A 24771-nucleotide genomic window follows, 5' to 3' on the forward strand; every position below is an offset into this window, starting at 1 on the left:
GATCTATGGTGATTGTACAGCTCTATCACAGTGCTTTTAAAAGTGAAGGATAATGACATAAAAAGTAGGCTGACATTTTACGATGAGGAATATTTTGCTTAAATGTATTTGTATATTCCTTTAATAGTCTCTATAATACAAAAACCTAGATATGTGTTACCTAACTACTATAAACTAGATACATAAAAATATTACATGAAGACTCATACTTTTATCCATAATCTAGTTAAATACTAAGGGCTATTTTTTCCTATGGATCTTTGTTTTTTTTTAAATCTCCCATGAGAATTAACACTTGAGAGACTCTTTTACCCTAACTCATAAAACAGAATCTATAACAGAATTTAAAGCATATATTCTATTGTCCCAATCCTTTTTTGGGGGTGAAAAGCCATTTCTACAACAATAAAACAAACATCAGAATTGTCTCCAATGGGCGTCTTTTCTGGCAATCTTCAAAACGGCACCAAGGATTAAATGGGGTGCACTGACTGGCTAATTCTCTCTCACTCTTAGTCCTTGCTCTTTGAGGTCACGACACTGACATATTGATAAAGAACTGTGGGAAAGTCTGTACCGCCCCTGCTCACTTGCTACCTGTTTTGTGGGCAAGTGGATGACTTCAGTTTGTACAAACTACTGGTTTGAGCATTAAAGTGACTCAAAAGATACTGAATGATATTCTTGCTCCCGGAATATAGAGTTAATCCTGATCCATCAGTGGTGGGCTTTGTCCAGGGTCATTTTGCTGCTGACAAGTAGCACAGTTTGCTGGATGTGATGTGTTATAAAAATGTGTGTGTATGGGGACCCAGTGACCACCTCTTTGTTGCCATGTCTGAAAACACAGAAGGCTTTCAATAGCATGGAAAGCAATTCATACCCATGGGGGCCTTTTATTTTGGGCCTACCTTGTACAAATTAAGTTCTTTCATTTAATTTTCTCAGTTGCCACAGTTTGAAATAACTATATTTTAATCCTTTAAAAAATATAATCAAGGTTGCCATCTATCCCTTATAGAAACTGGAATTTCAATCATAACATATAATAATGTTATAGTTGAGGGAATTCCATCGTGTCCACCAGAACAGAAAGCAGCATATGTTGAAGACATCTTCCATCCTCCTTTTATCACTGGAGATGGGGCTTTGGCCTTATCCTTTTCCATCAACTGACCTAAACATATTTTAAACATCTGATTGGTAGAATTATATTAACTCACACTTTAACTAGGTCCCCACTGGGTCTGATTCTGGGACTGAATAATAATAATAAGACTTCTTTTTTTCTCACTGAGTCATGAAGCAGATTTCATTATGGCAAGAAAATTGACACCCTAGAGTTGTGGCTTTCAACCTACTAGATCTAATACTTTTTTTTCATATTGAAGATTTTGTAATGTCCTTTTTACTATCCTGGAATAAAACTGACTGACACACAATTTCAAATTTTAATATAATACCAGAACTGTATTATAAAGGAGGACTAAATAGAAAGTTGTTTACAATAAAATCATACATTGACTTATTCAACAAATATTTATTGAGTGCTTATTATGTGCCAGGCCATATGAACAGAAAAGGGAAATGTGTCTGCTGTCTTCAAATTTACTTATAGTGGGAATGGAGGAGAAAGAGAATAAATACCGAACATGGTTACTAGATATATTGTATGTTAGAGAGTGCTACGTGTTAATTAAAAAAAACAGGTAAAAATAGAGTAAGAAAAGGGGTTTGGAGAGGGTAGAGGAGGGGCACTGCTTATAGATTTAATTGGGGTGGTCAGAATGGGCCTCATTGAGAAGGTGAGGTCTGAGCAAAGAACTGAAGGGGGTAAAGGAGTAGCCAAGTAGAAAAGTGGAGAAAAGTAGAGAAACACTTCTGGAGAAAAGTGATCCAGGTAGAGAAAGAGCTAGACCAAAAGCCTGCTGTGCTTGAGGCCTCTGATACTGGGGCAGGGTGTGCAATGGGAAGGTTAGTAGAAGATGTCAGAGAAGTAATGGGGAATAAGGTAATTAAGTGCCTTGGACACCATCTTAAGGTCTTTGGTGTATACTGTGTGAAATGGCAGCCATTTGCAAGGCTTGAATCAATAATAGTATGTATTTCAGGATGCAATCTAGGCTTAGACAATCATGAAACAGATTTTAAACGTAAATCAATAGCTATATTTAAATGCAGGATTAAATTTTCATTATGTAAATTTTCATTATGCAGGACATTTAGCATCCCCAACCCCAGCTACCAAACACCAGTATGCTCCCCAGTCATTATGGCAACTAAAATTCCCTCAAAAATCTCCAAACACCCACTGGGGCAATACTACCCTCCTCCTAATTGATAATCATTGTCTAACAGCAATAATTCTTAAACATTTTGATCTTAGGAACTCTTAAAAATTATTGAGGATCTCAAACAGTTTTTATGTGGGCTATATCTATCAAAATGTACCCATGTTAGAAATGAAAACATTAAAAATATTTATTAATTCACTAGAAATAATAAATCCATGACCTGTTAACATTGGAGTAATCAAAGATTATGTAGCCCTTGGAAAACTCCATTGTACACTCATGAAAGAATAAGAATAAAAAAGGCAAATAATATATTAGTATTATTATGAAGATAGTTTTGGCTTCAGAGATCCCTGAACGGGTCTTGGGGATCCCCAGAGGTTCCTGAACCACACCCTGAGACCCAAAGCTAATGGAAATAGGTAAAGCTCAATGTAAATATGAATTTATTTCCCCTGGGATATAGAACTATCTGCAAAAGAATATTTACAGAATTGTGTGTAACTAGATGCATTCTTGAGTCTTGGAATTGAACCATATTGATATATGTTGGGAAGCTCAAAATTTATGACAGAAGAATAAGAAGGGAAAGGAGACAGATGAGAAACTGGAAAAGAAAGAGGAAGGAGACTATGGGACCTATAAAATGAGAAGAGGCCGTGAGAAAATTATGCCTAAGCTTTTAACAGCTTAGATAAATTATGGTAAGAACATTTAAATACTTCATTTTCAATTCATATTTAATATAGAAACTATATGCAAGTGATTCGTTACAAGCTTAGAAACACAAAAGTTGTTTGGTCTAAAATGAGAATAAAAATACATTAGAAGTTCCTTTGTTTTTGCAAGGCTTGTTAGATACTTTAGGACTTATAGTAAATATATACTCAATTAGACCTTCCTGCAGAAAAGCATGAGGCTTCAGATAAGCTTTCCTATAAGTAAACTAATTAGCTGGAGAGACCTTTTGCAGTGAAATAACTTTTTTATGCTTAAAAAAATTAAGTCCTCTATTAGGTGATTAAACATTTTAAATACATTTTTAAAAACCAATTAAAGGCAATAACTGAAAATTGTCATCTGTTAAGTCTTTGCCTTTAGAATAACGTCTTTGTCTCTTTATTCCTCTTTTACAAAATATCTCATCCAGGAATCTGTTATTTATCTTGGTAACTGCTACAGTATCTTAGAATCTGAAGGCTTGGAAATAAATCTTAGAGGTCAAGTTCAAAACTTCATCCAGGGCTTGCATCATCTCTGCAACCAGGTGGTCCTTCAGGCTCTGCTTCGAAAGTTTTAGTAATGTGGAAATCATTACTTCTACAAGAATCTTTGGATCTATTTTTTGTTGGCAAATGTAATTTGTGGAAAATGTTTCTTCACGTCATGTATAAAATTATGTCTCTGTAGCTTTTTATCTATTCTATAATTTGCCTTCTGTAGTAATTAGAAAATCTTAATGAAATGATAGGCATGAAGGGAGGGTACAGCATCTATCACATAGGGAATATGTGATCAATGTTCATTATCTGCTGTCCTCTGCTGGACACTGTGGATGGCTTGCTGAGCATCCATTCCAACTATTTGCTAGTGTCTCTTCCTGATCTATAGAGGATATTAAGCCTAAAGTGACATTTCTAGATTCTCTTGCAGCTAGAGATGTAGATGTGATTTAGGTTGCATGAATCAGATGTTCTTGCCTAAGACTTGATATTAGAATTCAATTAAGTGAGAGCACGTGGAGTTAATTTTACTGCTGCAGACTGCAAGCAGGGGTCATGTATCAGTTGTCACAGTGTCTTCTCAACTCGTTAATGTCAACAACTCCTTGGTTCTGCCATGTGGCTTTAGTACTAACCTCCAGAGACTGAACTTAGAGTCTCTTTTCTTAGGCCCTTCCTGCCCCCCAAAGATTCTGTGATTTAGTTAATATTTTATTATAAATCCCCTTCTGATTAAATTTTCTAGAAGGAAGTTTGCTCTTTGGACCTAAACCTTGGCCATTAACCCTCCTTGCTAGCTCTTATCTACATTCTCCTCATGACAAGCCTTTGGATAATTGATAAAAGAAATCATATGTTCTCAAGTTCTTCTTTTCTCCAGTACAAATATGTCGGTGGCTTTTGTGGAAAGATCTAGATCAGCATGCCTGCCCTGCCATTTACAAGCTGGTGTGTGTGTGTGTGTTGATCGTGGAAGAGTTACCTAACTTCTCCATGCCTCTTCAGTTTTCCAAATTATAAAGTGGGAATAACAATAGTCCCTAATAAGGTTGTTGTGAGATTAGTCATATATGATAATTCTTGCACCAAGCTCAGGTTAGTGGCTGACATGTGATCAGGGCTCAGTAAATGTTAGTTGTCATTATTATTGTTATTATTGTCATTCCAGCACTATTCTCAATTGACGTGATTTTAAAACGCCAGATATACCAGTTGAAAATATATTCTGGTTAGTCAATGTCCTTCTTTAAAGAGTATTCACAAACTGGATTCATACCCCAGCATATTTGATGAGTCCACTCTCAACATTTCACCTTTATTCAATGTAACAGAACTGATGTATGTATAATTTACTCTCATGGAGTTTAAACTCAACTCAAATCCTAAAGTCTTTTCTTTATTCTCTATGGTTAAAGCAAGATATCACAGTTTAGTACCCAGGAAAGACTTTGGATTTATACTTTTTAATGTTCATCTTGTTGAATTAAGCCTATTATTTGTCTGTAGTATAGGATTGTATACATATACTGGTCTCACATAAAATGAATTAAGTAGCCCTCCTAGCAACTTTGATAAGGAAGCAGTCAATTACCTCCTCAAAGTAATTAGTAAACACATTGAACAGCTTAGACCAAGGACAGAGCCCTGTAACCCACTTGGCATCCCCAGTGACATCAATCCTTTAATAATTACTCTTTAGGCTTGACTATTTAGTCATTCACGAGTCCAACTATACTATCGTTTAACCCAAGTATCTCTGTAGTAAGTTTTTTTTTTTCAAAAAATCTAGTTAAATCTAGATCCTCTCTATTTGTAGCATTTCCTTGATCCGTTGTTCTAGAAAATACATCACTTATTTGCACAATTATGTTGCAATGTAACAAAATATTTTTTAAGTTTAATTTTAAACAATGATTCTAGCATCATGAAGGTATTTCTTCAAGCACTGAGTGAAATCCTAGAGCTAGCCCTCTGAGCCAAATCAGCAATTTGCTATTTCTTTACTCAAAGGATCATTTTGTAATCTTTGTTCTACAGAACCTGATTAATTATTTTATAGTATTTCTCTTTCCCTCATTTCCCATTGATAGTGGGACCACCACTTTCTCAGCCCATAGTCCTTCACCTCTAGTGCATATCAAACCCAATTATTAATCTCTTTTGTCATCCCACCTATTCTTCCAGGGCAGTATCTTCTAACCATGTGACCTGCATATGAATCACACATGATTTCTGTAATTCTCTTTAAAACACTGTCTCAGATTCAGGCCTCATCAGCCCTTGTGCTAAATTATCATTTTCATTCCTCTTTTTGGAGATATTTGATAACAACTCTTTGGTTTTAGAAGAACACTTTTCCTATAATTAGAATTTGGCTAGGTTTTAAAAATGCAATTACTAAAGAAAGTAAGTTTTATTTGTATGTAAGATGTGGTGACATAAAAGAAGGAAGAACAATGATTTGCTTTCTTTCCCTGTGATATTTTTATTTGTTTAGGCTCATTCTTAAGGAAAAGATTTATATAGTATTAATACATTTATCATGTACATGTATATAATATTGTTTTCTAAACCAGGTATATTACCGTGATAAGAACAGCAGGTGTTGTATATTTCTGATGCATTATAAATTGGATAAAATGTCTTCTCATGGTACACTATCTGCTTAAAAGTCTTCTATGAGCATAATTATTAAAAAGCAAATGGAACATTAGCTTATATAATGGGAATAAAGCATACTTTCCTTGAGGAATGTCCTATATATTCTGTGTTAAAGCTTAGGATTTTTGTTTCAAGCAATATAATTTTCAGATGTTAAGATAGTAAAGTTAAGAAACTATGACTATTTGCACATCCTCTCTTTTATTTGGTAGATTATTTTATCCCTGATAATATACCAAGATGAAGGACTTCCACTACATTTTATACAGTTCTTTGAATGAAATTACGTAGAACTTAAAGGATTTATATTTTATCTTCTTCCAACATAAATTTTAAAGAATGATGGTAATATCTAAGGCTGCATTTATCAGACATCGTTGATTTTATTAAATATGATGATGACAATTAAAGGCACATGCTATTAATTCAAACTGCTACAATCCTATTTTAAAAAGCAACTTAGCAACTTCTTCCAATTGAGCAATTGTTTTCTACAGGGCACTTGAAGTAACAACTGCATATGTCTTAAGCTATTTGCTAGCGTAACCCACCAAAAGTTAATTTTTTTAAAAGGACAATATCTTGTCTATGTCATGTATATGTGCTTGGTATTTCTCCAACTGTATATAAAACTTTCAAAGATCAGACTTGCCTTTTTCTGTACAGCTGCCTTTTCATTTTCTTTCTCTGAATAGACCCATAATGTTCAGGGAAAATATCAAGAATAATAAATCCAAATCTTTGTATAAAATATACCTTCATGACACACTCAAGCTGGAAATCACAGGAACCAATAAAAATGCAGGCAGCCTCCTGATAATGAGGTCAGAAATACAAATAAATTTACTTTTAATGAAGACTGGAGGCACAGTAATCAAAGTGTTAAAATTCATTTCATGCATATCTCATTTGCTTCTTAGCTGATATTTACCACGCAATTCTGTGAGAAAGTAGAGGCCTAAGATGCTCCAGATAAATGGCTCAATTAATTGTACAGAGGTAGACCTCTTTGAGCTGAGCCAGAGCTGTGAGCTCTTTATTAAAAGCACTATTCTGTAGCCCATAACCTTGTTCCTTGACTCCTCTCTGGTTTCCAATTTAAACAAGTCCCCATGCGGCCTGCTCTAAAGGGCTTTGTCTCCCTGTCATTGTTAAGAGAGCTGAGGCATCCTGGAAGTGTGAAATCAGACCTCATGAGTTGAACGGTTCCCCAGGGAACGCCGGACTGCGCAGAAGGTCAAAGTCATGGGCCGGACCATCTAAAAGTGTCTGATCGCCGGTCTGTGACACAGCAAGTTGGGGGTGGGGGCTGGGGGGGCGGGAGCTAGACTGAAGAGGACTGAAATTGAACACATCTTAATTAAAGCCCACAGACAGCAAAACAAAATGTTTTCTAGGCAGCCTGTCAAATGGGGCTTAAATTTAGCTCTGCTAATGAATCTGAGCTGCTAACTGTTATTTCTTAAGATAATAAGACTCTCACGGAAGCTGATAAAAAAACTGTAGCATGTCTTTTTCTGCTGTTTTGTTACTTAAATATTTTCCAACAATGAAGACAGTTTTCCAAAAGAAAAACATGGGAAAAGTCTATGCAAATAAAGGGGTAGTAAACATCTCTCTTAATAACTAGTAGGTTTCCAGACTACGGGGCTGGCAAGTCACAAGTCTTTATGCATAGCCTTGTTTTAGAAAAAGATACACTTATTTAATGGGACTATTTCAGTGACACATTCTATTAATTGTAAAATTCTCTCTCTCTCCCCCTTTTTCTCTTCCTCTCCCTCTATTGTTTCCTGAAGGAGATGGTGCATTAATTTGAGAGATCAATTCACCTGGGGTGGAGAAGTTTTATATTAGTGTACCTTTCAGTACAGTGAAAAGGTAGGACATCTTTTGAAGGGTTTCACAGTTCTCCCATGTCGCTGTTTCTGAAACTGAGTGGCTGGTCTCCCTGGGGAAGCTATGACCTCTTCCTTAGGAGCTCAGAAAAAAAAAAAAAACAGAGAGAAAGAGAGAGAGAACCCAGGGGAAAATGAAATGAAGGGGAGGGGCGGAGGAGAAGAACTCTTTTCTCCTTCTCCTCTTAGAACTTGAAAGAACCAATAGGCCAGGTCTAAATACTCTGCAAAGAAAGCCTCACTCAATATAGGAGACTTGGAATGTTCTGTTGAGGCAAAAATTAGGCCCTGCTCAAGGGAAAGAATAATCATAAGCTAAAAAAGACATATGATAATATGAACTATTTCCTACCACCCAAAGAAAAAATATTTTCCCGCCACCCACCCCACCCCACCCCGCTGGCCTTTCCTCACAACGTGTAGAGTTTTAAGGAAAACTTGATCTAGCTGCAGAGAGAATGTTCCCCAGTGAACGCGGGGCCAGACAGTCTCTAGGTCTTGCTTTGATGGTGTGGAGAGACATTAACCTTTTCACTGGTTAGTTGAAAGGTAAGTAAGTTGTACTGAGAGGTATTTTTCAGTGACTCAAATTTTTTCCCTTACGAAGAATTTAGCTGACCAACTTTTCAAACCAGAGTGCCACTTTCTCAGGCTGTGAAAAGCTGCCCACAATTTGACTGAAATTTCAATCCACTCTTGTGCCTTGCTCAATGCATGTGTATGTGTGGGAGTTGTAAATTGAGGCCTTAACCACCAGAGTTAATCTCTTTTTTAAATCTGTATTAACCTTAATGATTTGAAGTGCACTGTCCAACACTGGGCTATTGAGACCGAAGAAAAAACTACCCTCGACTATCAACAGTTTATTAGGGGCTTAACTGAAGTGACCTACTGTAGTAGTGTTCAGCTGAACAAGGCTATAGGCTTTTTGTGGAAAGGGAAAGAATTGAGGGTTTCATTAAAAAGTAATTTGTGCTTTATACTCACTCATTCAAAGAGAGTCTCAATTGCTCTTTATTCACACAGAGTTAATACAGTATCACAATGTTTCTCAATGAATGTGTTGTAACAAAAGAAAAATTTTACATTTTGAAAGGGAAAAATTCTTTGTAACTGTAGTAAGATTGATGGCTACTTAAAAGACTATAGAATCTTTCTTTCCTGTGCTCATGTCTAATGATGGAATATTATAATTTAACATTTTTTGCTGAAACAATGGGAGTTTAACTTTATGTTCAGATCATTAAAAATATCAAAAAAACAGAGCCAAGTTGTTCAAATATAGATTTGTCTCGTTAGACTTATTTAGAAAAAGTGTTCTGAAATCAACCGTGTATCTTACAGTAACAGGCTCATTTGTACCATGTTAGAAAATATTCTTGCCTTAGCACAGACAGTTACCAGTGATTTAAAAACTCCCCTCTACATCGACAAAATTCCTAAATGGACGCTAAGTTGAGGATTTGAAGACAGCGCTAGTCAATTGCCTCTTTTCAAACTATTGCCTAATAACTTGTAGAGGCTGACTGTTATTATCCACTGAGACGCACATCATATCTTTAAAGTTCTTTGAACAAGTAAAAGAGAAAGCAGACAAAGAACTTACTTGTGTCCCAAATTTAATGACAAAGACAAGGAAGCATCAGGATACATGTGTGCGTGTGTGTGTGTGTATATATAAAGTATCCTTTTCAAAAGTAAAAATTATTTTTAAAATTGGTAGTATATTCAGACATTTCTGACTCAAATATATAGTCTTTCAATTTTTGCCACCATCACAAATGTCATAAAGACCACAGAAGGTCCAAGAGTGAGCAAGGTCAAAGACTGAATTATCTTTTTGCCCCTGAATAGTTCAACATCTCTCTTGTTCAATTCAGAGCACATTAGATTATAAGGTCAGCGTGAAATGGGGAATCATTAGATTTATATCTCTAAAAGTGGAGGAAAAAAATGGAGACTCTGTTATTTAGTATTCCCCAAATTAATGTTCATTTTATCAAATGAAAATTATGTCTCATTGAATCCCCAGGGAAAAGGCTATTGTTATTCACATCAATTTACATAGAACCATTAGGAGAGAAATATCTCTATTTTTTTCCAGCTTTGAGAGAACATGTATTTTAACTTCCATAGTGGCACACAGGCCAACTGGGTTAATCTAGTTTGCATATTCATGAAGTTTGAAAATCAATGACAGCTTCTCTCCAAAGAAGACAAACTTATACAATTCTATCCAATTATATAATGGGCAGGTATCTAAGCTTTTGAAATAAATGGTACTTGCATTTTTCTAAAAGAAATGATTGTGCCAGATTAATTTGATTATAATCATACTAGAAAGAAATTTCATAAGTAGGAACATGTATATACATTTTACATTAATTGTTTTATACAAGGAGCCAAATTAGCATATATGCAAATATTACAAACTACCCACTCTCCCATTTTCAGGTATTCCTGTTTTGAAAAAATATGTGACAACTGTTATCATCTTCTTGGTTACAAATGAGTTGATAATTACCTTTTTAAAGGAACTGTAAACTAATATTTTAAATTTTCTCACACATGGTCACTTAATAGGCAAATATTAAAATATAAAAATATTGCAGTTTTGGAACAAACATCTGCTATTTTTCATTTGAAGGCATGTTACCTTTTAATTTGCTTTTGATTCTGTTGAATGAATTAAAGAAGTGCACAGTGATTTCAGGTCCTTGGATGGTAGAAAAAGCACATTTCTTCCCTTGAAATAAGTTTGTTACCTCATTAGGATTATCTGGCTGAATGTTCAAAATGGTAAGCATATTTCCAGAATGATAAGTTGATATTTTCTTTCAGAAACAGTGAAATTTGCACAAATGGTCAAGCCAGTCCTATTTATTGTCTAACTTGAGATGGATAATTTAAGGAACAGTATAAGCATCCCCCAAATCCTTATGAAATTAAATCATAAATGAATGGTCACATTGTTATAAATTCAAAATAATGATTTAATTCTGGAAATTGATGGAATAATTGCCATCAGCCTGTTTGTTAATATGTTACAGAAATAGTATTATGCAAATCAGGAAGCTTTAAGAGACAAAACTAATGTGGACATTTGTACAGCCTTGTTTCCTACTTTAAGAAATTTCAAACAATCTAGAGACTTAGTTTAGATCCAAAATTATCTCTGGGATGTGCCAGGGAATTTGGGTGACTAATGAGTTGGATCAGCAACCCAAATATCAAGAGTTGATACCAAGTTATTGAGTATTATGCACCTAAAATTTTCAGCAAAATGTGCAACAGATTTCATGCATGTTTGAATTATAAGTGTTGATGCTATGAGGGAAGCTGATTCTGTAAAGCATTGGTTCAATACCTGGAAATAACAATATCTGGAAGACGTATTCCTACTACATTGATTAAACTTCGAAGAAGGCAACAATTCAAAAGTCATTTTGTTTTTTAGTGTTTATTTTTAATACATTACCCTGCCTTTAAAAAGCAGAGATACTATAAAAATCAGGGGGTTGGCAAATATTTCTAAGATCATCCCTGAATCTTTAAATTATTTATTTTGATGATCCATCAGGTGAAATGCAAAGTTGAATTATTAAATGGTGTAGACCTTGTGTGCTGCTTGATCTGAGCAATAGGAGAATTGCATCATCTCTTACCAGTGACGTCGGCAGCCATTAACCCTTCCGCTCTGATGACTTTCACCTGGAGAAATCCCACATCTTTCAGGTTGTGAAATATCCTCAATGGGCTCTGAAAGACCCCAACATCAGTATTAGAAAAGGGAGGTCCCAAGGAGTCTTAAAGAGTGTGCTGAGAAAACATTACATTTTTTAGTTTATCTTCAGACTCTGGGGGTAAGAAGATCAACATTAAACTAACTAATTTTTTTTTTTACTGTTTTCCTCTTGGTGAGTTTTGGAAATTGCATGTGCTAGCTGAGGATTAAATTACCTAAACATTGTTTTCTCGTATTTATTTCAAAAGACTTATGCAATTCTACATAAGAACTTAAGTAGTTTTACATAAGCAAAATACATACAGTATCTTTTAAAATAAATCAAATTGATGACTAAAAATAAATTCAGGCCGGGAGCAGTGGCTTACACCTGTAATCCCAGCACTTTGGGAAGCTGAGGTGGGTGGATCACAAGGTCAGGAGTTCAAGACCAGCTTGGCCAAGATGATGAAACCCCATCTCTACCAAAAATACAAAAAAAATTAGCCAGGCGTGGTGGCGGGCACCTGTAATCCCAGCTACTCTGGAGGCTGAAGCAGAGAATTGCTTGAACCCGGGAGGCAGAGGTTGCAGTGAGCCAAGATCGCGCCACTGCACTCCAGCCTGGGTGACAGGGCAAGACTCCAACTCAAAAAAATAAATTCAAAATAGTGAGTAATTTTTCTTAAATTTATAGTTTTATTTGCCATTTTAGTATGTATAGAATGGAAACGTTGATGCTGCATAAGGGGTTCAAAGGGTCATTTGTGTTTCTTCAGTATAAATTACCCTTCCACCCTCATGAATGTACACCACACACACACACACACACACACACACACACACCCCTCTATGTGGATAATTGTTGCTATATAAGTAGATTTTCTGAAAGAATAAAAAAAACACATTTAATCCCATAAATAATTATCAATAAATGTTGAACAATAAATTATGGAATAGATATGTCTGCTTCCTTTTTCAATCTCCTCTAGCCAGCAAACCACTCCAAGAAAAATTTTCATCTGTAGATATAATGGTTTGGAGATTAGTGGCTTTTTTAAAATTTATTTTTATTTTTATTTTTTTAGAGACAGGGTCTAACTCAGGTTGGAGTGCAGTAGCATGATAATAGCTTACTGTAACTTCCAAATCCTGGGCTCAAGCATTCCTTCCACCTCAGCCTCCTGAGTGGCTAGAACTACCGGCATGTGCAACCATACTTGGTTAACTTAAAAAAAAATTAAAATTCTGTAGAAAAATGTCCTGTTATGTTACCCAGGATAGTCTCTGATTCCTGGCCTCAAGTGATCCTCCAGCCTTGGCTCCCAAAGTGTTGGGATTACAGGCATGAACCACCACTTTCAGCCTAATTATCAATATTAAATCTCACATTGTTGGATATATAACACTCTTCAGACTTTGGGGATAAGAAGATCAACATTAAACTAATTATTTTTTTCTACTATTTTCCTCTTGGTGAGTTTTGGAAATTGCATGGGTTAGATGAGGATTAAATTACCTAAAGACTATTTTCTAGTATTTATTTCAAAAGACTACTGTAGTTCTACATAAGTAAAAGACATACACAATCTTTTACAGTCAATCAAATTGATGACTAAAAATAAATTCAAAAGTGGAAATTTTTCTTAAATTTACAGTTTTATTTGCTATTTTAGTATGCACAGAAGTATTGAAACTTCAATAGAAAAAACAGATCCAAATGATAAAATCTATTTCACTTCATAAATTAATAATGGTGGTGTTTTATAAGTGTAGCACTTGAAGGAATTAAAAGAGGGAAACCAATACAATAATTCAGAAGTCTAATTAATGGGCACAAATACTTTGAGAGTAAAATGAACCAACAGAATGCTAATATGCATTTGTTTATTTACACTTCATAGCATTTTTCTTATGACACGATCAGCACTTCTACTCTGTAAATCAAAGGTACTTCTTTTTCATAATTTATAAAATGTTTCATAACCAGAGAACGTAACATACTTTTGCATTATAAAGTTATTAAAATGTTACTAGAGTAAAAAGCATTCCCATCATCATATTAATAATGTGAGAATACTGACAAGCAAAAGCTTACTGCAATATGAACTTTATCAGTCCCGTATGACCAGTAATTGTTTACACTGAAACTATGACCTTCGTATATTGAGAGGAGGAAATGCGGATACATGAGTAATCTCATAGCCTAACTTTTTATAAGAGTGTTTAGCATGAGGATTAACTGTTAATCTTTTATTGTTTTTAAACAGTTGTTTATCACCAAAAATCTATTTAAAATACCCAGGTGACAAGGTTCAGTAAAAATGCACTTCTCTCTCCATTTAAATTCCTGTAAATGAAGGGTTTCACTGTGGGGGCGTTAGACAACAGAATATAATTCAGAGGTTTGTGGGCACGTTGTGTTCCTACAGTAACAGCAAGTTTGGAAAGTTTCTTATCTCAGAGCTTACACAATGTTGTAAATCAGGTAAGTCTTCGACCCTAATGATGGGGAATAGTTTTATCAAAAAAAGGTTTCCGTGCTTTAATTTTCAGAGGCAATTTAAATCAAGTTCTATTTTGACTAAGACGAATATAATCAGTCCTTATGTCTGAGAATCCTTTCACATTGGTAGCCTCATTCCACAGACATATTGTCTTCAGGTGCTTCGGCTCTGATCCTCTGCTTCCCATTTGGAGTGGTAATTATTGTTTGAAGGTTTCATTTCCCCAAGTCAGCTGACACTCCATAATTTATTGCAAATTTCAACGGTTTAGGCCAGTGACACATCGATTATAATAAGAAGTAAAAATAAATAAATAAATAAATAAATAAATAAATAAATAAATATATTGGTTTAAAAACATAACTTCATCAAGAGGTATTCATCAAGAGGTATTCCTGCCTTGCTATTTACGGTTATTTTAGAAGGCCTAAAAACCCGGATGGCTTCTGAAGCCAGAAATTTCCATAGCAGAGGAATCTATGATTTGCTGTGAATCCTTTCAGCCCTCAATAGATGGGAAAAGATTGAAATGCTCTGGAGAGGAGTCCTCTTTATTTTTTTAATGAAAGGCTGTATAATATATTTTCTCTATGGCTGCAGCAGCTGTCAGGGAGAGCATCTCAGTTCAGCTCTATTACGGGAGAGGCAATACCCCATCCTATGGCATCGAGATGCTCTGAGGGGCCAGAGCTGATTGACAGCTTGTCACCGTGACGTCTTATTCCATCTCTGTTATGGAGAAAATTAATGTCACACCACCAGCCTTATGACTCGCTGTCATCTTAGAACCGCTCACCTTTTATCAATGCTCTAAATAACATTTCAAGCCCATCGTCTCACGGTGGACAATCCGGTCAAGGGACATTAAATCAGATGACTGTGAAATGTCATAATAAAAATGGAATGCTAACAACTTCTTCTCTAAACTAGCTCCTCTGGTTTTTAAACTGTGACAAGGGGGAGCAAGGGTTCAGCATACCCGTTCTGAAAAGGTCATACAATTGCTCTTGGTCTACTACCCATTACTACCCGCCCCCTATTGACCTTCCCTCATTTCCTCCCCCTAAAAGAGGAAAAAAGAAAAATGGAATTAGCCATCTTCTCAGAATGTGGTGATCAAAAAATGGCTCACAGAGCGATGTTTGTTTAATTTGTGGGGCTTCAATCCTTAGCAATGAACAGCTAAACAACAGCAATGGAGGGCTTTTTTTAGGGCTGTTTCATATCAGAGTGGGGGCAATTTATTTGCTTCCCTGACAGTGACCAATGTCAAATTCCTAAATTTGACCTCAACTTTTAAAAATACACATGTTCTTGCAGGAAAATATAGAAATAATTCTCCAAACAACCTCCATTATATGTTTCTCCAAAACAAATGATATTTCAGAAATGATATGGCATTCATTCATTCATTTCATGATCCTTATAATAAAAGGGAAACACACTGAAATCCTAATCCATAGGTCTTTGTCCTTTTATGGATATGAGTAAATATAACAGATGTGCTATGTTGCATATAGTGGTTTCGTAGCAGGTATGTCTCTAGAGGGAGGTATAGGCCTCTGCCTGAAATTCAAGGCTGAAAAAAAGTATATTTAAACATAGTTCATTTTTGAATATATTGAGCAGAATACAATCTGAGAATTAAGTCAAACATCCGCATAATATTTTACATTTTATTGAAAAAAGACATGGAAACAAATATTCAAATTCTGAATGGAAATGGCCAATTGCCATTCAGCCATCCAGCAAAAAGAAAAAAAATTAATAATAGGTGGATTACTTCTAATTACTTAGGCAGCAGTATCCCTTAATATACGGGATAATATCAAAATATTAATCCATCAACTATAGTATAATGCCTAGAAGAATTTTTATATTAATATACTGATTAATTCCATTAAAATTGTTGTAATTCATGAGGCTCACTTCTGGTAACAGAAGAATATATTTTGGTGGATACCACAGTGTAAAATAATCTTCATAACTGCAATTATATATTAGAAGATGTCACACAATATCTTAGGCTCTTAGGTGGTTTAAAAATATATACTATTTAGCCTTGCTAAGTCACCTCTATTAAACTGTTTATGATAACACCATTGGTGGATGAGTTGTACAAGCATTAGCAGACAGCTGATTCAGTGGAGATAGCCAGAATAAATTTGCTGAAGCGCACATCCTGCTAATCTGTTTGAAGAATATTGTAGAGCATTAGTACCAGCACTTCATGTTATCTGCACAGACTGATAAGGTACATCTTTATTAAATTCAGTTATTGAAAGGATGTCAGTCAGCAAATAGGAATATTTTAAAGTCTAAAAAAAAAGTGGTTCTTTGTTAGAGCTTGGTTTCATGGCTGAGTGTCTAGAGGAGCCTTCTAAACACCTGGCGGCACTGTACAATACAAGCTTTGTCATTTTAAGTGGAAAAGCTTTTTTCCCAGCTTCATGGGTACTAAGGCATTTACTTTTTCAAACCTTCATTGAGAGAGAATGGTGGAGTAAGAGCTCCCCTCTCTGTTGATTCAAGAAAACTACATGGTGGGAAATGTCCAGCGGGAGGATGCTGGGAAATAGTAAGATTTGGTTGTGAATATTTCAGTTAGGTAAAATTTGAAGAGGGTAGTCATTTTAGTGATTCACTATTCCATACTATCGTTCCACATTCGATCAAAAAGCAGAAGACTTCCTTTAATTCTATTTCACATTCAATTAAAAAAATTAAAGGAATGAAGTGAGGCTTTCCTGAGCAGCTGAAAATAAAAATCATTCCTGTGGATACTCTTTAGTTACCAGCGTACTAATTAACGTAAGTACCATTAACTCCATCGCAAACTTGGAAAGACAAAGACATTTTAATTGCAGCTACAAAGAATCAATAAATTAATTTTAAAGTCACATTGTATAAACCTGGCCTTCCTATATGGGTAGCATCCCTGCATGATAAAATCACTGAGTAGAATCTCAGAATCCAGAATTTGCTCTGGAAGAGAATCTAGAGAAGATCAAGTCTCTAGACATGGGTGGGTAATGCAAATACTTCGGCAAAGGTCTGTGTGGCATTTGTTTTCACTCAGCTTTTTACTTGTGCCAATTCTTCCACCAGACAACTTCTCAGAAGTACTTCTGTCCCTCCAGGTAAATTGTTTACAACCTGATCTAGTCACATGTGTCTCTGGAAGGAGGAGGGTTACATACGTACATATCTCTTTAATATCTCCTCTCGTTCCTTCTGGTCCTCCAGGGAGTTGACAGACAGGTCAGAGATGCTGACTGTGGCTGATGCTGTCAGAGTGACCAGCAGCACCAGGTGTCCCTCACCCTCTTCCAGCTGCAACTCCAGCTTGTGCGTCTGTTCCCTACTGAGGGCTGACAGGTCGACCTGGCACCTAGAGACAAATGTTTTGAATCAGCAAGTGGCTTTTTTTTTTTTTTTGCCATATCAAACAGCTGTTCAGAGTTCTATGAAACATAAATCAATAGAAATATTATTTGGACCATTGGAAGAATACATCTTTCAAGTCAGCTGACTTTCTTCACAAAATTCAGACCCTCATTATCGTAGGGTCTGTAACTGTTTATTTCCTGTAAGATACAAAAAAATATGTTAATCTGAAATTCTATTATTACCCACTGTCACGGTATTCATAAAGTGGTAAGGACTTCCTATCTCTAGGTGGCCTAAGGAATTAGGTCACTGGGGCTTTGCTTATAGAAAAAATGATGTGTGCCATCTAGAGAGACCAACTACCAAAATTCTGAATTTTTGTGTTACCTTTAAAAAATGGATGTTTTCCCCTCATTCGTAAATGTTATTAAGCAGTGAATAGAATATGTACCATTGTGATGCCATACATTTTACATTTTTTAAAACCATGCCAATATATTCATAGTACTCTGTATAAACCGAAATAAAAACATATAAATCTCCTGAAAACATAATAGCTCAAGTGTTAGGCACCTGAGTTGTGCTAAGAGGGGATTTCTAATGTGGCAGTGCCTGCTCTGTATGCCACTCTCTCAGAGCTAATACCCTGAAAACGCTTTTCATAAAAATGTCAGTTGATTTTGAAGAGAAAGGTAATATGGTGACCACAAGGCTAATAAACGGAGAGAAAGGTGGCAGGCATGAGTGAAAGGCATTTAAAATAGGAAATAGCCAATTATAAGAATAAATGTGGTAACCTACCATAAACTGCGTGGTCAGAGACAGATTAAATTCTTGCTCTTTCTTATTCCTCACTCTATTTGGTATTTATGGTTTTGCTTTTAAACTAAACTCCTATGGACAGTGTTTCAAAGCTTGTAGTTGAGTTCAAACATCTCTTTAGCAAGAGTGATTGCAGATATTGAACTGAAGTCCAATATTTCAATAGGCCTTTTATTTTTGCCTACTGGTTAATATGAGGGATGTCTGGGACTAGACACGAATGGGAGGAAGAGGAATATTGATGTAAGAAAGGAAAACAATAAGCAATGCCCTGGTCAGTAGCAGAAAGTCCGTGTGTACTTAAATGCTAACTCCTGAGAAATTGAGAGATTACAGTCTGTACAAGTCTGGAAAACATCTTCCTGAAGTTAGAATGTATGTCAAATAACTGCATTCCAAGGTACTCTCATGCTGTCTCCTCAAACTCTGAAGGGTGAAAAAACATATCACATCCCTTATCTCATATTTAAATTTTAATTGGAATTAAGTTCTTATCAATAATACCTGGAACAAACTGAGGTTAAAAATTTTCACAGTGGAAAACAACCATTCAAACATATTCTCTAATGAAAAAAAAGGTATTATCTTTAGAGATCTTTCCAGCACCTGACACACTGCTGGGCCCATAGTTTGTTGAATGCAAATAACTCTGGCTTGGATAGGGAGTATAATACTAGAGAATTGACGAGAGACTATAATTCAGACAATATTTTTGGTTGGGTACAGTTGGAACCAAGAAAAGTCTTTCACTCACTTTTTTTTTTCTTTTTTTTCCCACTCACTTTGATCATGCATTTCCCGGTCCCTTCCTTTTTTATATAATGCTGCAGCACTAAAACGCATTGATGTCTTCTGAAGGATTTTCTTCTATGCCCATTACCACTTTGTACTGATCATATAGATGCTGGTTCCTCTTAATTTATATTAGTCATTGCATTTAATGCTTTACAGGTGGGGAAACTGCTCTCAAGATTATATAAATTAGGCTTTGCAAGCTGGCAATTTTCAGATGGAATCTGATTCACAGATTTGTTGTTTTGCTTGTGCTAAAAAAGTTTTGAATATAAATATTTTTAAATACAGGGTAAATGTCCTCTGAATTAGTTACTGTTCCCCATACTGGCCTATTTCACTTAATTACACTACCTTGCTCTAGTAGGCAGAAGGATTTGTGATTCTTGCAGTCTCCTTAATTTACCAATGAGAAAACTGAGGGCCAGGGAGGGTACATGATGGAGGGGAGACATACAGTTAGTTATTAGCAGAGCCCACCTGAACCTGGGACTCTGGAATCCAGGATCTAGGCTTTTCTCCACCACTCTATCTTTAAGTAACCATGCATCCCAGGAAGAAGCACTGTTAGCAGTGCTTCTCAAAGTGGGTAATATCTGGACTTTTTTTTAAATTTTAATTTTTTCGAGACCAGGTCTTACTCTGTTGCCTAGGCTGGAGTGCAGTGGTGCGATCATGATCATGGCTCACTGCAGCATTGACCTCACAAGCTTGGGTGATTCTTCCCACTTCAGCCTCCAGGTAGCTGGGACTACGGGTGCGTGCCACCAGGCCTGGCTAATTTTTTTTTTTTTTTTGTATTTTTTGTAGAGATGGGGTTTTGTCATGTTGCCCAGGCTGCTCTTGAACTCCTGGGCTCAAGCAATCCACCTGGCTCGGCATTCTAAAGTGCTGAACAAGCCACCACACCCAGCCCTGGACTTTTTGAGACAGAGTCTCATACTATCGCCCAGGCTGGAGTGCAGTGGCGCGATCTCAACTCACCGTAACCTCTGTCTCCTGGGTTCAAGCAATTCTCGTGCCTCAGCCTCCCAAATAACTGGGATTACAGGTGCCCACCACCATGCTCAGTGGATTTTTCTTTTTTCATATTTTTAGTAGAGATAGGGTTTCACCATGTTGACCATGCTAGTCTCAAACTCCTGACCTCAAATGATCCGCCCACCTTGGCCTCCCAAAGTGCTGGGATTACAGGCATGAGCCACTGCACCCAGCCGACTTTTTCCCCCAAACTTTTATTTTAGGTTTTGGTGGGCACATGTGCAGGTTTGTAATATACATAAACTCTCCTGTCACAGGGTCTTGTTGTACAGATTATTTTGTAACCCAGGTGCTAAGCCTAGTACTCAATAGTTACTTTTTCTGATCTTCTCCCTCCTCCCAAACTCTGCCCTCAAGGAGGCCCCAGTGTCGTTCCCCTCTTTGTGCCTGGACTTATTTTTAACAGAAAGAATTATCTCAGTTTCCAAGTATGAAAATATGTTATTTTTATGCTTTAAAAATATATATAAACCAGAGAAGAAGGCTGTAAGTTATTGTTCTTATAAGATGATTAAGAAAAATTTATAAATTGAATTTTGAAACTATGAAACTAATAAATTTAAATTAACAATATAAATGTATAGGGAATATTATGCTTTTCTGTAACAATTAAAATTTCAGTATTGGGTGTACTCATAGAAATAGTTTATCTCAGGTCCTGTGCTATATTCAGTGTTTCAGAATTTTGACTTTAATAATTCCAATGTAGAGAATGCCCATTTTCATAAATATATCAGCCAAGAAAGTATTTAATGACTTCAAGGTTCTTTGTGCTAGTTAAGGTTATTTGGATCTCTTATTTATCTAAATATTCTACTCGAGAGTAAGATGCCATTTTAAATGAAGTGTCACCTGTAACTAAGCAAAGTTTTCTTGTTGGCTTGAGGATAAACTTAAAGCTTTACTGATGGGTATCAAATCATATTGTTGCTGGCGTTGGCTGAGGAAAAAGCATTTGCTACCCCCTCATAACTTTTGAACAAATATGTTCAAGGATGGAACTCTTCCAACATAGTCTGGTGCAATGTGAATACAGTACTAACTGCTATGGGGTAGATTCTTCTATATTTGGCTCACCTGTACTGTTATGTCCTGAACAAAGGGAGGTTTCACTACTGTTTGAATATAGAAGTAAGAAGTGGTCATCCAGGTGGTTCAGGATAGGTATACAGTAATGGTTTTATATTGTTACCAAGATAAAAATGCAAAATTTAAAAAGCATCAAAACAAATTTATGAATTCCAAAAATATGTTCACAGATACATACACAGAGAAAAGTCCCGGGTTTGGGAGTCAGATTCCCTTGGTTCTAGACCTCAGTCTTACATTAATTAGTCATGTGACCTCTTTCAAGATAACTTATCCTCTTGGATTTCAGTTTTCTCATCTGCAGATGAACTTTAAATTCTCAAACCCTCAAATTCCACAATTTGTTGTAACTGTATGTTTACATTTGCTGCATCTTCCTTTCTTTGCAATTCCACAAATCAAAAAGCTAAGAGAACAAAATTATCTTATAGGCAATGAAATAGTATTCCTCAGATGTATTGCTAAAAAAACTTGAATGTTGGTGTAAGAAGGCATCTCATCTCATCTAATTTCAAATTGTATTGCAAAGAGCAGTAGGGTGTGCCACTATGGGTGGCAGTGTGAGAAAAAGGGGTATAGACTGACTATCCTCTTTGGTTCACAGAGCAGCTCTCCTGACATCTGTTTTATACTGATGGTTCTATATGTGTGGTTTGAAAACTTACATGACACAGCTTATATAGCTCCCTAGGCTCTCCTGGAGCCATGGTCTCCTGAGTCCTCAGCTGTTCGCTTTGCCTCAGCTGCTCCTTTGGCTATGCCTCCCCAAAGGGCTGCTCTTCATCCCAAACCCATGACCAACTGACTGTGCTTGGGTCCTCATGGGTCTCCCACCTAGGGCTGGCTGATCTTTCACTGTCCCAAATGAGCTAGGCACTCCCCATTTCTGCCAAGGTGCATCCAGGCCTAGCCGCCATATACTTTTGAGTTTCTGGCTTCTAAAGCCACTTCTGCACTTCGATAGGAAGCCACACTGTGAAGATTGTATCTGGCTCCCAGATCAACTGCCAAGGAAGCTGCATGAAACAATGCAGAAGTTATCTCCTTGTAGGGTGAACTGTGATCAATGTAATAGGAGATGGGAAGACAATGTCCCACACCTCTTCCCTTTCACAAACTGTTCCAAAACATAATTCTCCATATGGCCTGTGCACATGTGGCCATATGGATGCACCTGCTAAGCAACCAGCTATATCTCTGAAATACCAGAAACAGTGACCAATCCATGAATATATTTCCTTGCATTTCTTCCTAGTATTCCCTGCCTCATGTTCTTTCTTTCTCACTCTCACTGTCTGGGATGGTACCTCCTAATAAAGCACCAGCACTCAATCATTGCCTCGTGCTCCATTTTTCTTGAGAAACTGGCTTAAGGCAAAAACCATTGCTACAGTCCAACCCTCTCTGTATGGATGTCTACAACACAAACTTGACCATGTCCCTCCCTGGCTTTGCACTATTTACGAGATATCCTTAGCTAGTCAACAGTACCCTCCATGACTTACCATCAGCTTATGTGTCACTTGCTGATGCATTCTCACTTACAACTTATCATTCCAGAAGCCTTATAATCCTCCCAACATCCATGCTAGAACGCACCTGTTTCTTTATGTTTGGACAAGGCATGCCCTCAGCCTGAGATGATGTATCTCATTTTTGCATGGCTAATTTTTTACCAATTCTCATTGAAATAACTTGCAGCTGTCTTTCTTAATATCCTGAAATGCCTCAAGGGCAGGAACAATATCTTATTCTCAGCACGTGGCACACCAACTGGAACATAGCTGGTGCACTGTAAGTATTAAAGTACTATGGACAAGGAAATGGAGGCTCAATAATTTATCCTTGGTGACAATGCTTGACAGTGGCAGAGCCAGTGCTAGTGTGTAATGTGCTCATTCTACCACTTCTATATTGTCTCCTAGAAAGTGGTTTGACTTCTCCCCAATACTCATTTCACTCACTCATTAATTAATTCTTTCATTAACTATTCATTAAGTGCTTATGTCTCAGGTCCTTTTAGATTTGGAGATTCAGCCCCTTCTAAACCTTCAGGTTTCTCAGATCCTTACTTCAGAATGAGCACAGATTCTGTGTTACTTTGAAGAAAGTTATTTGGCATCAGAGTCCATGGCTGGGGGTTCAGAAAACAGAAATTTTAATAAATCCTGATTATTCATTAGTATTGTGATATTAAGAAAGTCACTTAAACTCTTTGTACTTCAGCTTTCCTCATTTATTGAATGGAAATTTTTAAAAAAATGCCTTCTCTTTGCAGAGAATTGTAAGAACACAGGAATCATGGATGAAAAAGTACTTTGAAAAGTTGAAAGTGCTATGTAAATGTATTATCTAGTTATACTATCACATTTGCCTTAATTTGATATTTGAAAATTCAAGTGATCTGCATCAAATTCAACTCATCAATTAATGAATCAACAGAATAACAAGAACAGACTCAAATCTAAAACAGATTTTTGTATTAGTCTGTTCTGACGCTGCTAATAAAGACACACCCAACACTGGGTAATTTATATAGGAAACAGGTTTAATTGACTCACAGTTCCACACGGCTGGGGAGGCCTCACAATCATGGCAGAAGGCGAATGAGGAGCAAAGTTATGCCTTCTAAGGTGGCAGGCAAGAGGGCATGTTCAGGGGAACTCCCCTTTATAAAACCATCAGATCTCATGAGTCTAATTCACTATCACAAGCACACCATGGGAAAGACCCACCCCATGATTCAATCACCTTCCACCCGGGTCCCTCCCACACAATGGAAATTATGGGAGCTACAGTTCAAGATGAGATTTGGGTGGGGACACAGAGACAAACCAAATCAATTTTAGAGTTACTTTCCCTCATTCTACAAATGCTTCCTAGTATTCCCTGACTCATGTTCTTTCTCTCTCACTCCCACTGTCTGGGATGGTACCTCAGAGAGTGAGAAAAATAAGACTTAGAAAAATTAAGTGATGGCAAGAACTTGAACCATGTTTCCTGACTTCCATATCAGAGCTTGAAGTTCTCTGCATTAAAAAAAAAAAACTATATACATTTGAACTATTTAATCATGTGAAAGGAATATTCATCATCTTTATGGGGTGATGTTATCCTCTAAAAGTTCAAGGAGAAAAATCTCAGTGTTCTGATCACCGTTTTTCTCCCCTGCCTTTCCATCTGCTGTCTCTGAACCAGTGACTCATAACATTCCTTTCTAGATGAAACAGTCTTGTGATTAGCACCCTGGGTGTGTTCGTATGAGTCCCGTGGGGGTACAGAAAGTACATGTTAGAACTATTTGCAATTATTTTTTAACGTAAAAATAAG

At 36.5% G+C, this 24771-nt stretch overlaps 1 protein-coding gene across 56 annotated transcripts in view; it reads right to left on the bottom strand.

The window, feature by feature from the left end:
• MCTP1 (multiple C2 and transmembrane domain containing 1) overlaps positions 1–24771 on the bottom strand; it is a 581405-nt gene that overhangs the window by 173448 nt on the left and 383186 nt on the right. For 55 of the 56 annotated variants that reach the window (XM_047417718.1, NM_001393537.1, XM_047417715.1 and 52 more), the window contains 2 exons: positions 17512–17698; positions 11742–11835 (listed from right to left, as the gene is read on the bottom strand). The exons of the other annotated variant lie outside the window; for it this stretch is intronic. In XM_047417718.1, coding sequence (XP_047273674.1) covers positions 11742–11835; positions 17512–17698 — 281 coding nt within the window. The remainder of the gene's footprint in view (positions 1–11741; positions 11836–17511; positions 17699–24771) is intronic. 56 annotated transcript variants of the gene reach the window in all.

The sequence above is a fragment of the Homo sapiens genome, chromosome 5, assembly GCF_000001405.40.
Source record: "Homo sapiens chromosome 5, GRCh38.p14 Primary Assembly".
Lineage (NCBI taxonomy): Eukaryota > Metazoa > Chordata > Mammalia > Primates > Hominidae > Homo > Homo sapiens.